The following is a 15,437-nucleotide window of genomic DNA, read 5'->3' on the forward strand; positions in this document are numbered from 1 at the left end:
TTGCTCACCAACCTCCAGGATCCCAGCTGAATTCATCTCTACTGTCCTCATTTCCTGTCCAAACTATAAACTTAGTTTACCCATATTCCCCTATACACTCATCACAAATCCCCCAAATTCCTGACTCTCTCCTAAATTCGATTCCATGATTTGCAAACTCCTCTTTACTGAATATTCTCTACAACAACTTATGCTTTAACTGAAACCCAGCTCTCCTGTATGGAGACTGCTCTCCTTTCCAGACCAAAAGTAGAAATTGCTTTCTCTTGCACAATCTCCATAGGCATAAAAGGACATGGAGTCACTGATTCCTTCACTTCCTAGTGCTATTGCAAAATTACTCCCTTGCACTCTTGTGAGACTCAACCATGCCATTCACGCTGTCTCTCCTTATCACTATCTTAGGCCAATCTCCAGGGTACAAGCCTGTAAGCCACTGTTGTCTCTGGCACCCAGTTCATAGCCTTCCTTCTGTTGTGCTGAGCCCCTATCAACTCCAGTGGGGATGGCACCAAGTTCAAGAAGCCAAAGAAGAGACCCAGAGCCAGCAAACAAGACAAGGCGTTTTGTTGGGGGCTACATAAAGGGGAGCAAGCCCAGTGGTGGCAAGCTAGGCAGGAGAAGCACCTTACATACAGTCCAATGGTGGTGGGCTGGACAGGATAACTGCACGGCCCAGTGGCAGCAGGCTGGGCAGAAAAATGGCAACTGCTTGCAAAAAGTATACAGTTTATATCGTATTTTCACTTAGCACTCTTCCCCCTAACAACCTCCACCTGGCAACCTTCATTTAACCCAAAACAAAGGGCCTCAATCCCCTGTCTGGCCTGCATTCACTTCACAATGGGTTAGGGGCACAGATGTTCCTTATAGATAGGGAATGGATCTTTGGGTTAGCCACCCTATTCCCTAGCTCAGAACTCCCAACCGCATGCAGGTGTTGTCTGCAAGCAGGGTCATTCTCAAGGTATGCTTCAGTTATTGCTATCAAGCACATCTGCCATGCACATTCCACCCCCAAAGCCCTTCTGACTTCATTCTTGGTTCTTACTACTACTCGAAGTCTGGTGTGTGGACAAGCAGCAGTACCACCAACAGAGAGCTTGCTAGAAATGCTCATCTGCCTCAGACTGAATAAATGAGAATCTGTAGTTTAACTAGACCTCCCAGGTGATTCACATGCATATTCAAGTCTGAGAAGTGCTGTGGTGACTTCAGTGTTTAAGCAGATCACCTGTTAAGAACCTGGCCTCCCCATTCCCCAGCTTCTCTCTAAAGAACTTACACTTACACCTTCGCCTTTCACATCCAGACAAATTCAGAGATGGAGGAGTATCATCTTCACAGTACTCCCGCTACTGCTCCTTAACTCAGCCAGACTTTGACTCTAGCAATTCCTCTACTTTCTTCCTCCTATTAACCATATCCCTTCTAAGTAGCCAATTCTGTATCAGGCTTATATCCCTGTAAGTAAAAGTGATATATCACTTTTACTAATGTCTGAATTTCTCTTATTCTACTGTCTTCCCATAACATCTGCCAAGCAAAATCCCATCTCTTGACTCACTATCTGCTTGCCCCAGACTTGCATTTGGAATCATGAGCGCTGCTGGAGAAATAGGGCCCAGCTCTACAGAGTGGTCACAATCACCATCTCTACTTGGATCCCAGGCACTGTCTAGCAACCTTATCACAATCTTTTCTCTCTCTCTCCCACAGAGATTGTTAAACTCCCTCACTCTCTTCAAACCTCTGACTTTCCCAATATCCCCTTCCGTCTCAGCAGTATACTTCACCTTCTACCTCACAGAGCTCGGAAGAAAAGCAAAGCCATGATTAAGGGACTTCCTTTACCTTCCTCTAACTAAATTGCACACACCCTCGCCCCACTTCCCCCACATTCAGTGTCAATGGAGGGAGCATTCTTTCATCTATGCTCTAGACCATTCCCTCTTGCGTTCTCAGTAATTTTGTGCTGAGTATGCCTTTTCTCATTTTTATTTTCAACCTCTCCCTCTTTACTGGTTCCACCACCAGCACTGAAACATGCTCAAGCATCTCTGATATTAAAAACAAAGAAAAATCACCATTTTCAAAACCCTGTGAACTCTTCCAGATACCATGCTCTTTTCCCATCTTCCTTTTACAACTAAACTTAACTGGTCGTTTATACTCATAGCCATTGTTTCCATTTTCTCACCTCTCACTCCTCCCATAACCCCTTGTTAGGCTCTGCCCCTTTACTCCACAGAAACTGCTCTTGCTAAGATCGCCAAAGACCACAGAATCTTTCCATTTCTCTTGATTGAACAGTTTTTTTTTTTTTTTTAAAGTATTTGGGACAACTACCCACTCAATTATCTTGCCCTTTAGCTTCCATGACATTAAATTCTCCCCTATTTTCTCCTAGCTCTAAAATTCTTCCTTCTCAATCTCCTTTTCTGCTTTCTCCTCTTAACTTTGGCACTTTCAAGGTTCTGTTCTGAGCGTTTTTTCTTCTTTTTGCCTTGGTGAGATTTTATTCAGTGCAATAGGCAGTAACCTGCCTCTCATACTACCCCTCTAGCCCAATCCTCTTCTCCTGAGCCCAAACTCAATATTCATCTTCTAACTTAGGATCTCCACTTGATGACCTAATATGCACTTCTAAACTAAACTCATTTATCATTTCTTCTTCCACCCACCCAGTGTCTCTCAAGACATACGTCTGACTCCTCCCCTGCTCTGGTCCCAACATCTGACCAGTAACCAAGTCCTTCAGTGGTATGTCCAGGTATTTCTCAAATACATATTCTTCTTGAAACCCCACTGTCAGGTCAGCAGCATCTGTTCCCCGGGTTTCCCAACTGATTCCTGTGCATGCACAATTATTTAATAACATCAAATATACAGTCAGTGTCCATACTCTCCAACATGTTTTCTGTTTGTGGAAAAGTTTGATTTTGTTTGATTCTGAGTACAGTTAAGGCCTATACATTGCAACTGGCTTATATATCTCTTAAACTACATTTGAATCTGTAAAATCCTTCCGTACCCCTTTTATTTTTCTGGAAAAAATATTTTTTTTCCAGGAAAAAAACCCAACAGATTCTTTGTCCTGTAGAGTTTTCTACAATCTGGATTTTACTAACGGTATCCCACATGTTTCTCTGTCCCCTGTATTTCCTATAAATTGGTTTGATTACATTGATGTTCAATTTTGGTGTTTGGTTTTTTTTTTTTTGGGTAAGACAACTTCAAAGGCAGTATTGGATACTTCCATCAGGAGTCATATAATATTTTGTTTCCCTTCAGTTAACATGCTGTAAGTATGACCACTATATATAATTGATAAGTCCATTAATTCATTAGGGTTTCCCTACATTCATTCTTGCTCCTCTCTGATAATAGTCCACACACATTACAGTCAACCTGGTCTTCATAAAATGCTAATCAGATTAGGTCACCATCATTTTAAGCCTTTCAGTGGATTCTCACTGTCCTTAGAATAAAGTTGAAAATAGCTTCCAAGACCTTCCATAATCTGGCTTCTATCTTTCAGTTCTCACCTTACCTCATTCCCAACACCCTTGCTATACTGGAATTTTTTAAATTCCCTTAATGTCTTTCTCTTTATGCCTCTGCACATACTATTGCTCCAGCATAAGCAAACGGCACAGCTTTTGGCTTAAGCATTAACTTCTTCAGTTAAGTGCCTTGACTTCATTGACTTAAATCCTCTTGCCAAATGCTTCCAGAATATACTTGACATCTTTTTCGTAACATTCAACATACTTCCAATATCTGTTCAATGACTGACCTTCCTTGCTGATTATAAATGAGGGCAGAGATCACTCCTGTCTTCAGTGGTATACCTCAAAGCACAGCATTATCCAAAATAGCATACATATTTAATAATTAGTTGACTTCAACTGAAATTGAAAACCATCTTTCTGTGGATAGTGATAATGCTCCTTTCGAAAGTATTATTTTGAAAGATTTGCAAATGTATGTTAGAACATAATAGCTAATAAAGCATCATAAATAAGAAATGTTCAAATGTTCATTAAAAAGACATACAAAAATGATTACATGCTCATTTAAACAAATTTTCTATACATTCATTCACTCATTGTACTACTAATCAATTTCCTTCTATAATCTATAACAAAAATATCTTCCTTGAAAAGGAACCAAAAGGCAGCAAATAATGTTTAAGAAAAAAACAATTCTTACTTTTATGAAGAGGAAGAGGTTTAATAAGATCTGGCTGTGCTTGAGTTGTAGGTGCAGGTGGTCCTTTTCCCCCAATATGATTGTTTACAACAGGATTCTGCTGTCTGCCTCTTAGTAGTGGAGACATACACCGACGTCTTTTAGGGATCCCTTGCATATTTGGTTCTCCGGGTCGTTTATGTTTATTTTGAGGTCCAGCCACAAATTCATCTGCTTCATCTATCATCATACCCTTTAGCAAAAAAGAATACAACTTTCTTGAATTTACAAACAATGTTTAAATGGCACAACCAGTGTCAATTCCAATGAAGGTAACTATATTCTGTTCATATTTATTAGATACTCTACCAGGAAAATAGCTTCAGCTTACTTCAGTTAAATTAAGAACTATAAAACTGACAGTGCCTACCATAAACAAATTACATAATAGAACATTTCAAAATTACCTTCTTATCCAGCTTAAAGGGGTTGCCAAATGTATGCAACCTTCGTGGCTGATCAGGATCAAGTTCTCTTAGTGGAGAAGGTACTTGCTTGAGGTATTCCTGGTAGTTCCCCATTTGTGCTATAGGAACACTGTGCACTTGATCTTTCAAAAAGAATACAACAGCAAAAAAAGTTAACCTCCAATTAGTTCTCAAATAATGTTTCCTTATATATGAATGCTACCTAGTGTTATTCTAGACAGTCTTCTTTACCAACATATTCTAAATTTGTTTGGTGCAATTATAACCACTGCGACAAAATATTTTAAAATAAAATTTAAAATACTGATCTCATCATCTAAACAAAACAAAAATTGCCATTAATTTCACACATACATACATTGCCATTAATTCCACACATACAGAAAGTATGTGTGGCCAGGCGCAGTGGCTCATGCCTGTAATCCCAGCACTTCGGGAGGCTGAGGCAGACATCCGGATCACTTGAGGTAAGGAATGAGACCAGCCTGGCCAACATGGCAAAATCCCATCTCTATTAAAAATACAAAAATTAGCAGGGCATGGTGGCACGTGCCTGTAATCCCAGCTACTAGGGAGGCTAAGGAGGAGAATCGCTTGAACCCAGGATGCGGAGGTTGCAGTGAGCCGAGATCACACCACTGCACTCCAGCCTGGGCGACAGAGCAAGGCTCTGACTCAAAAAAAAAAAAAAAAAGTATGTGTGATCTTACCGTGAAAGATGTATCTCTTCTCTTCTGCGCTATTCCAAATAAACAGAATTTAATTATAGTAGAATTTGTAGAAAATGGAAGTACAGTATGGTAAAAAAAAAAAAAAGTCGCATAGCTAACTCTTTTATATAAAATTATTGTTAGAACTCTTAAATCAGAGGTGGCAAACGTTTAAAGTCTCATCTGACTTGATTTATAGTAGGTGCCATGGATAAAGGTGAAGAAGGAATTATCAGAAAATGTCATGAAACTGGCCATCCAGAGTTAAACCATCAGATACTGGTATTATCTCAAGAAAATGATTGAGATAAGAAAAATCACTTATTTTAAGTATACAGTTTGATAAGTGGGTGTGTGTGTGTGTGTGTGTGTGTGTGTGTGTGCGCGCGCGTGCGCGCATGAATGCATGAGAAAAGCTATAAAAGGAAACTAAACTGTTAAGAAAGGTTGTTACCTCTAGGGAAGAGAATTTGGGGCAACAGTGATGGTAGGAAGAAAGGTACAGAATCAGGGATGATTCACCTTTTACTTCATTTGTTTGAACTTACAATAAGAATGTTATAGTACTGTAATAATTCTTTGAAATTTACATCACCATGCTATGCTTTTTCAGACTATAAAGAAAAAAAATTAAAAATACCAGTATTGAAACTATGTTCTAACCTTCGTCCTGTCCTTTCAGAAATCTGCGAGTGCTCTTCAAAAGATTAGATCTCATTCTTGTTAAGTGATCCAAAAGATTTCGTCTTGGTATGTCATAAGCATTTCTAAATGTCTGTGGCTTCAAATCCTATTAAACAACATTCGAGGACAAAATTTATTGTCAAACATAGAATTACAAGAGACTAAAATCTCTAGCCTGCAGCATAGGTTTGGAAATAAGATATATAAACTGGTTAGCTTAAAAAAAATAAAATAAAGACATATGATATAATCTTAATGTACCGGTTCAGGGCCAAAAGATGAAAATTTGGTAGTGAGCTCAACCAAACAATCTCAATTCACCATCTAACTCTAAAGATTTTATTATATATTCTGGATAAAAGAAGTAAACTCATTTAAGTAAAAATCAATCTCCAAATTTTAAAAACTGAAGTTTTTTAAAAAACAGCTTTGATGTGTAATTTATATACCATAAAATCACCTATTTTAAGTATATAGTTTGATGAATGTTAGTAAATTTATAGTTGTGAAACCATCATCATAATCCATTTCCACCATCCCCAAGTTTGTTGTACCCACTTGCAGTCAATCACTATTCCTATCCCCAGGCAACCACGTGACTTGCTTTCTTTCTATGCTCCATTTTATAAATGGAATTTTGCAACGTCTAATCTTTTGTACTTGGCTTCTTTCAATTAGCATGATGTTTTTGAGATTCATTGACATTATTCATGTATCAGTAGTTTGTTCCTTTTTATTCCAGAGTAGTAGTCTATTATATGGACACACCACATCTTCTTTATCTATTCACCAGCTGATGGGCACTTGGACTGTTACAAGTTTTTGGCTATTATGAAAAATGCTGCCATGTTGGCATGCTAAGCCTACAAGTAGAATGACTGATTGTACAGCAAATTTATGTTTACACTTCTTAAGAAAATATCAACTATTTTCTATCAGTAATGTTAGGAGGGTTGCTCCACATTCTCATCAATCCCTGTATTTTTTGTCTTTTAAATTTTATTCATTCTAGCAGTTATGAAGTAGTATCTCGTTATGGTTTTAATTTGCATTTCCCTAATGGCTGATAAGGCTGAGTGTTACTTCATGTTCTTATTTGTATTTGCATATTTTCTTTGGTGAAATGTCTGTTCAAATATTTTGCCCATGTTTGTCCTTTTATTATTGAGTTATATGAATTCTTTATATATTTTGATACAAGTCCTTTATTTGATATGTGCTTTTCTCCCAAGCTGTAGCTTCCCTCTTCATTTTTAATGTTTCTTTTAAAGAGCAAAGTTTATTTTTTATTTTAATGAAATTCAATTTATCAACATTTTTGCTATGTGCTTTTAGAAATCTTTGCTAACTCAACATCACAAAGATTTTTTCCTATGTTTTCTTCTAGAAGTTTATAGTTTTTGTTCTTACATTTAAGATCACGACCACTTCAAATAATATGAGGTAATGGTCAAATTCATTATTTTGCATATGGATATCCAATTGTTCCATTTGTTTAAAAGACTGTCTTCTTATCCACTACCTTATTTTAATATCTTTGTTAAGAATTGACTGTGTGTGTGAGGGCCTACATCTAGACTCAATTCTGTTCCACTAATCTCCTATGTTTATCCTTATGATGGCACCACACTGCATGGATCACTGTAGTAAGTTTTACAATAAGTTTTAAAATCAGATGATATAAGTCTTCCAACTTTATTCTTCTAAAATTGTTTTGGCTATTCCAGGACCTTTACATTTCCATATAAATTTTAGAATCAGCTTGCCTATTTCTACAAAAAGGCTGCTGGGATAAAGATATCTGTAACCATGAGTACTCACAAAGCATTTTTGGATCATGCTGTGGGTCTAATAGGGTCATCAGTTTAAGTACAAAACTATAGTGAATTCTACCATCCACTACTGCAACTTAAAGCAATTTCTAAACCTCTGTTTTCTCATCTATAAAATAAACAAGTTAGTTTACTCTTCATCAATCTATCCATTCATTCACACACCATGTACACTGTTTTAATTCTAGCAGTGACAGTATAATGATCATTAGTCTACAAGAGTACAGAAGTACTCTTTAAAGTCTGGATAAACTGAATGTCAGAGTTAACAGAAAATGTGATTTATCCAGTAACATAACAGAACATAACTAGAGTAGCACTAAATTCATGATTATTACCTTATTCAGCAAAGCAACTTGGAACCCAGTGTATTCCTTCATATTAAGGTCTAGCAGTCTGTGAGGGACATCCTCTGAAATTCCCTGGAGGAGTTGTTGAAAATCTTTCCTATATGCCATTGATAAACCATGTGATCGGCTCCGGACTTTTATTCCAGTCTCCTGTACTACTTTTTTGCCTACAGATCCAATGACTCGATCAGATTCTATTTTGGCCTAAAGTAAAAATAAGTCAGAATTATCTTGATAAAATCTAAATTAATAAATCAGATACTAATGGTTATGATCTTCTATAAATTAAATATATATTTTTTAAGTATATAAGAAGTTAAAAACTCAAGTAGCATAGTTTATGTCAAGTATTGGGTAAATTAAACATAGTTTAAACAACAATGTCTTATGATTTTAAATCATTACAACTCTAAACTTTTGGAGCAGGACAAACACAATTTCAATTTATTATTTTATTTATTAATACCCACTATACCTAAACCATGAAATATAAATGCACACTAAACAAAAATGTGTATTCCCAATTCAGGGGTGACGGTAAATTATTTTTTTAAAATCATCATTATGTAAGACATTTTTACTAGCACATCAATATGGCAAATAATTATGCAGTTCTTCCCTGGAAAGCAAGAAGCAATGTTTTGACTCCTCCCAAACTGCCTTTTGATTTGTAGTTAAGGTAGCAATGTCAGAAGTACTGGAGAAATAATGTATTTCATAGGACATTAATAATTTCACAGTCAGTTAAACTATATACTGCTTGACTACTATAGTATTTATTAATGTGACTTATGGCCAGAATGACAAAATTCAGTGTTTTCTACAAACATTTCAAAGAAACTCCCATTCTGAAAGAAAAATCTGCAGGTTTCAAAACATAAAGAGTTTTTTTTTTCTTTTTTAAGGAAAAATGACTTTCTAATCTAAATTTCTCAAAAGATAAATAATGTTCACATATAGCAAGTCTAGGACCACACTCATGAAGCCATTTTCATAAATTAGGAATTATTATATAATTTTCAAATTAATGTTTCAAAACATAGCACACCATGGATGTGAGACAGAATTATGTAATATATGGCTCTAAAATGTAATATATTAATATAATGGAATTCCATTAGAACCATCAAGAACTAGCTTTTAACCTGTTTAACCATCCTAGCCAAAACCATTCAAAATACTTAATGGCTCACTCTATTTCTTGATATTACCTGTTGACTCAGTTTTTTGAGGTATGAAATGACACTGTAACTAAGTCCATATTCCATACTGTCTGCTATTAGGTTAGGTGCTCCCATCATCCTAACAGCTTTCTTCAAGGGCTATAGGAAAAAAGAAAACATCATTCAATATTAAGCTTATTAAAAACTTATGGTTCCATGTATAGTCTGTCTTAAAATTTTCTCCAAAAAATTATTTCCCCTTCTTTTCCTCAATAAGGAAGTAACACAATCGTATTTATGTTTCAGTAAAATGTTTGTCAGTGGGATGAAAGGCCGTTTGAAGTAGTTAAAAAGGATTAGAGGCCATAATAACTCCCCAAGACAAGAAGGATAAGATACTGGTCTTCCTTGGTACCACTGGGAGAAACTAGGTTTGGAATAAATGGACAGAAGACACATTCTAGAGGTAGCTCTGATAAAACATGGGTAGTAAGTGAAAAACACTCAAGGAAAATGCAAGATTTCTACTTTTGAGTAATTAGCTGCTCAACCACTCACTAGTTATATGATTCTAGATCAGATTATAAATAAGCTCTCTGGCTCTCTGTGGCTTAGTTTCTCATTTGTAAAATGGGGATAATAACAATACCTACTCTTACAGGGTTGTCATGGGATTAAATGAGTTAATACACATAAAGCACTTTATAAAACCATTGGGTACAAATTATTAATCATTACTATTATTATCATATGCTGAGCTGAAAAAAAGCTCTGAAGGAAACATAAGCAGGAGGAAAAAACAATCTAATATTTATTATGGATGTGGTAGTTGAAAGTTAAAAAAAACTTTCAATTGTAAGGAGAGACTGAGAAGTACTTTATACGATGAAAAATATCACTAGCAAGAGTGTCTAGCATTTGTGAATCGGATAGAGCCAGAAAAAGGATGATAATCATTGACATATTAGAAAGTGTATAAGCACTGGTGTCAAACTGAAATCAAATCCCAGCCCTGATATTTAACACCTATCTGGCTTGGCTAAATCTTCAGGGTTGCTATGAAACGTAAATGAGTCAACATATGTAACAGTTCCTGTTCGAAGTGTTTGTTCTTTTTTGTCCTTCTACTTGCCAGGCACTGTGTGCTAGACATTCAACACAACTTATCTGTTAGAACTATAAAATGTCATGATTTTTAAAGCTCAAGAAATTAATCTCCTAATTATATTAGGGATGATTTAGAAAGATTATTTATAGCCAAATGCTATAATATTCCTGCATCAAAACAGAATACATAAGTGATTTTAAGTACTTTTGTTAAAAAGTTATCTTTCACAAACTAAATCATGTATTTAATAAAATGCACATTATTGGTTTTACCTACTATGATACACTATTTTGAAGTAATCAAGTCCTCTAAAGCATATGGTTCTATAAGAATATACACTTATCCACCTTACAAAGTGTTTCTAGAGATTTGGGAAATAATACAACAAAAACTATTGTGCACCCTTAAAAATAAATATAGTCGGCCCTACATATCTATGGATTCCGTATTCTGTGAATTCAATCAACCACAGACTGAAAACGTTAGGAAAAAAAAATGGATCGTTGCATCTGTACTGAACATATATACAGACTCTTTTTTCCTTGACATTATTCCTTAAACAATACAGTATAAAAGTATATACATATTAAGTAACCTAGAAATGGTTTAAAGTATACAAGAGAATGTGTGTAGGTTATATGCAAATACTATGCCATTTTATATGAGGGACTTGAGCATCTGTGACTTTTGGTGTCCACAGGTGAGCCTGGAGCCAATCCCTCACAGATACTGAGAGACAACTATAATCATAAAACTGTAATTTTAAAAGGTAGTACAACACTCGAGGTTAAAAGCCTAAATCTAAGCCAGACTGAATTTCAGGCTCCTCATCCCCTCACATATTAGCTATGTAGCCTTGTGCAAATTATTTAATTTTTAATGCCTTAGTTTCCTCATCTATGTAACAGAACCAATAATCATTTCTACCTCATAGGGTAACTGTATAAATTAATGATGTTGCTTAGGACAGTACCTGGCCTACGTAAGCAGTACATAAATGTTCTCATGATCATGATCATCATCACTACTCTGCAAATCACTGAAACCTCTCTTTACCTTTATACCTATAGTGGTCATCTGTATGCTCAATTTTCATGTCATTTAATCTATAAAAGCAATAAATAAAAGTTTATAATACCCACAATAAACCATAAGCATAATATAATTAACAAGTTTTTTGTTTTTTTTTTTTTGGAGACGGTGTTTCGCTCTTGTTGCCCAGGCTGGATGGAGTGCAGTGGCACAATCTTGGCTCATTGCAACCTCTGCCTTCCGGTTTCAAGCGATTCTCCTGCCTCAGCCTCCCGAGTAGCTGGGATTACAGGCGCCCGCCACCACGCCCAGCTAATTTTTGTATTTTTAGTAGAAACGGGGTTTCACCATGTTGGCCAGGCTGGTCTTGATCTCCTGACCTCATGATCCACCCGCCTCGGCCTCCCAAAGTGCTGGGATTACAGGCGTGAGTCACTGCGCCCGGCCAACAAGTTCTTTTAAATAATATTCTTACCCCAAGATAGTAGGGAGGCATTGTCTTCAAATAACTTTCAAATGACTGTCTCCACTTCAATGTTGGTTTTGCTTTATGCACTTTAAACAAGTCATCTAGAAACGTATAATGTGAACAAACTATCACTACTCATTATTTTCACACATAGAAGTCAAGTCAAAGACGTTTCCTTTTTAAAGTCTGCTTTGTTATTTTTGAGAGAGTAACATCAGACGTTTTTTAACATGAAAGTAAGATTTACGGTTTTGTCATTTTCTATAAAATGAAAAGATGCCAATTATGGTCTAAAAGTACATGCAGGAATTAAGTTAGAATCAGAAAACACACAAGGAAAATCTATGCCCTCCCTAGACCTAGACACAAAGCAGATTTGAAGACAGAAACAAAGCATGCACAATGTTTTCTATAAAATATACGTACTAATATTTTGACTATAACTTTTAAATTTAATGTGATTTCATGGAAGGTAAGTTTTCTCCAACAGCACTCCTCAAAAATGATAGCTAGATTGTACCCAGAAACTAACTTTAGGCTTTTATCAAATTATTTTGGAACAAATTCCTTTATTTAAAAAATATTTGCCAAATGAAAATTAAAGTGTAGATAAATTCTTAGAAAATGCACTCAGATCTTGTTAACTATACTATGTTTCTACAAAATGTCTCATTTCAAACAGAAAGCCTACATTACCAATTCTAACTGTTAGAAATCTAACTTGCAGAAAAGTTAGAATATTTAATTAAAAAATTTAAAATGTAATATCTTTGGCCGGGCACAGTGGCCCATGCCTGTAATCCCAGCACTTTGGGAGGCCAAGGCGGGCGGATCACCTGAGATCAGGAGTTCAAGACCAGCCTGGTCAACATGGTGAAACCCTGTCTCTACTAAAAATAAAAAACTTAGCTAGGCATGATGGTGTATGCCTGTAGTCCCAGCTACTTGGGAGGGAGGCTGAGGCAGGAGAATCGCTTGAACCTGGGAGACGGAGGTTGCAGTGAGCTGAGAATACGCCACTGCACTCCAGCCTGGGTGACAGAGCGAGACTCCGTCCCCTCCCTCCCCCACCCCCCCGCAAAAAAAAATACCTTTATTAAATTGCAGACTAAAAAGTGTTTCAATATCATCTTTTAATTTACTGTAAACACGAACAGATTGTTATATTTTCTTAAAGATGTTCAACATTTTAGAATATTCAAAATATTTTCATTGATTTCCAGAAGACAAGAAAAACTACAAAGAAATGCGCTTTAGGAGAACTTTTATATGCTAAGCCAAGGAGAAAGTGACAAGAATGACTTACCTAAGAGGGGAAGAAGGACTGGATAATTGTAAGGCATCACAAATAAGTTGACACAGTTCAGTGCTGTACTGGCTTTCAAGTAACCAAAAGGATGACCAAGTTCACTGTATTTTGCACTATTGCTCACGTACACCTGTTAAAAAGGAGCGGTTAAAACTTTAATAACCTTTAAAGAATGTTACATAAACCATTGATTCAATTCAGCTTTTTAAGAAATGCCTCATTTAAATTTTGGGGTCACTGTAAGTTGTTCAGCTTACCTGCCAACATGTTTGAGGAGATTTCCTTTCCAGGATAAATTGAGTCAGTGGTGAAGGTTCCAACTCATATTTGTCAAAAGGAAGTTTATCAATAACCATTGGTTCACAGTCTGTACAGGAAAACTTCACTACAGGATGAGATGTACGAGGTGGCTAAAGGGGAAAGTCTTGTAATTACTACTTACATGAAATTTCAGAAACAAAACTAAATATTCCTCATTATCAAAATTTACTCAGTTCCTCCGTCTTGCTAGTAAGAGTTTGATTTACTGCTAAAAGCAACATTAAGCTGAAAGGAAACACTTGAAAATGTAATGCTAAAGTTATGTAATATTCACAACAAAAAGATAAACACTTGAAAATCTATAGAAATGAAAATATTTTTAGGTCTTACGCAAAATTTAGTAATTGAGTATTCATTAATTTTTACATCCAAAAAATTAGAAATGTATATAGAAACTCTCACAAGTCTTCATTTGTAGCAATTACTTATAGAGAGTAGCGACTTCCAAAGTAATCATAGATCTTGATCAGTTTTTGAACACACTATATATTTCTAATTATACAAATTATAAATGTAGATGTACATAACAAAATATATACCAAAATGGTATGAAAATAGGAGAAAAATAACCATAAATAGAACTTCTAATGTTTCCTTCCCTATTCCAGCAATCATTTTGGTAAACTCTATAGGATACACACCCTTATTTTAGAAACCCCTGTTCTAGAGGTATAAAAAAGTAATACTTTTTTTAAAAAGGCATGTTACTCCCCAATCTACCTCTTAATAGTCCTCTTCCTAAAAATCTCACAAATTGTGAACAAAATGAGCTATGAGGAAATAATTTTAAATGTCATAGCTATAAAGGACTCTATTGGCCTCAGTTACTGCTTATACCCTGGTGGTTCACAAATCTACTGTTGGGGCCAGATGGCTCCTATTTCTCTGCTGTATCTAACTACCCACTAGACATAACCTGAATCTTCCACAGGTTCCTCAGACACAATATGTACAATTTGTTTCTTCTCCCCCAAGCTACAAAACCTGTTCTAAAAACCTAGCCGTTATTCTTGATATCTTCCCCTCATCCTCCATATTTAACTGTCACAAAGACCTGGATAAACTGATATCACAAATTCTAAGGCACTTACCAGAACACATAAACATGGTAGGTAGTCATTACTAGTTGCTGCCTTCTGTCAATACTAAACTCTCATCTCTCTAGAAATGTTATCTTCTATTTCTTACCACTTTAATTTGGGCCTTCATCATTTCTCAGATTAGACTAGTACAAATGCTTTTTGCTTTGTTTAGTTTCTAATCAGTCCCTGTCTGATCAATCCATGGCAGTGAAATATAAATAGGATCATATAATTTCCCTATCTAAAACTGTTCGGTAAAAGTAACAGCCAATCACCTAAAAATAGGGTCTAGACACTTAATATCACATATAAAGATCTTCAGTGATCTGGTCCCTATCTGCCTTCCCACCACCACGCCATACAGACTCCATACTTCAGCCATGCCAAGTACTTATTTTCTCCCTTGCATATTGCAAACAAAGTTTAGAAAAATGAGTTGGCATGTAACAACCTCTAAAAGACCTCTTCCCTCATACCCCTTCCCACTCTGTACTCCAAAAACACACCAGGCTGTCAGGCCCACCTCCTCTGGCTCTGCCCCACCCCTCCATTACAGTTGGCACACTGTACTCTATGATGTGTACGTGTCTGACATGCCCATAGATGGGTAATGTTCAGAGGGGAAGCACTGTTTTACTCATCTTGTGCTCCTGTGCCTAGCATGCACCTGACACACAGTTTATTGAATCAGTCCA

The 15,437-nt window shown here is 36.2% G+C and overlaps 1 protein-coding gene across 10 annotated transcripts in view, besides 1 other annotated feature; it reads right to left on the reverse strand.

The window, feature by feature from the left end:
• Positions 1 to 15,437, reverse strand: part of INTS6 (integrator complex subunit 6) — a 118,632-nt gene that overhangs the window by 35,588 nt on the left and 67,607 nt on the right. For 9 of the 10 annotated variants that reach the window (XR_007063673.1, XR_007063676.1, XR_007063675.1 and 6 more), the window contains 8 exons: positions 13,597 to 13,749; positions 13,337 to 13,469; positions 12,037 to 12,131; positions 9,470 to 9,580; positions 8,247 to 8,462; positions 6,056 to 6,182; positions 4,662 to 4,804; positions 4,216 to 4,447 (listed from right to left, as the gene is read on the reverse strand). Coding sequence is in view for 6 of the 10 variants with exons in the window: in XM_011535040.4 (XP_011533342.1) it covers positions 4,216 to 4,447; positions 4,662 to 4,804; positions 6,056 to 6,182; positions 8,247 to 8,462; positions 9,470 to 9,580; positions 12,037 to 12,131; positions 13,337 to 13,469; positions 13,597 to 13,749 (1,210 nt within the window). In the remaining 4 variants the exon portion in view is untranslated. Of the gene's footprint in view, positions 1 to 4,215; positions 4,448 to 4,661; positions 4,805 to 6,055; positions 6,183 to 8,246; positions 8,463 to 9,469; positions 9,581 to 12,036; positions 12,132 to 13,336; positions 13,470 to 13,596; positions 13,750 to 15,437 lie in introns of those variants that run through there. The other variant, XM_047430265.1, reaches the window with a different exon arrangement.
• Positions 689 to 1,188: an enhancer, noted in NCBI's record as "H3K27ac hESC enhancer chr13:51944817-51945316 (GRCh37/hg19 assembly coordinates)". NCBI's record gives its function as "activates a minimal SCP1, AML or CMV promoter by ChIP-STARR-seq in primed H9 embryonic stem cells {active_cell/tissue: H9 hESC(primed)}" and the evidence as "EXISTENCE:reporter gene assay evidence [ECO:0000049][PMID:30033119]".

Source organism: Homo sapiens, chromosome 13 (genome assembly GCF_000001405.40).
Source record: "Homo sapiens chromosome 13, GRCh38.p14 Primary Assembly".
Lineage (NCBI taxonomy): Eukaryota > Metazoa > Chordata > Mammalia > Primates > Hominidae > Homo > Homo sapiens.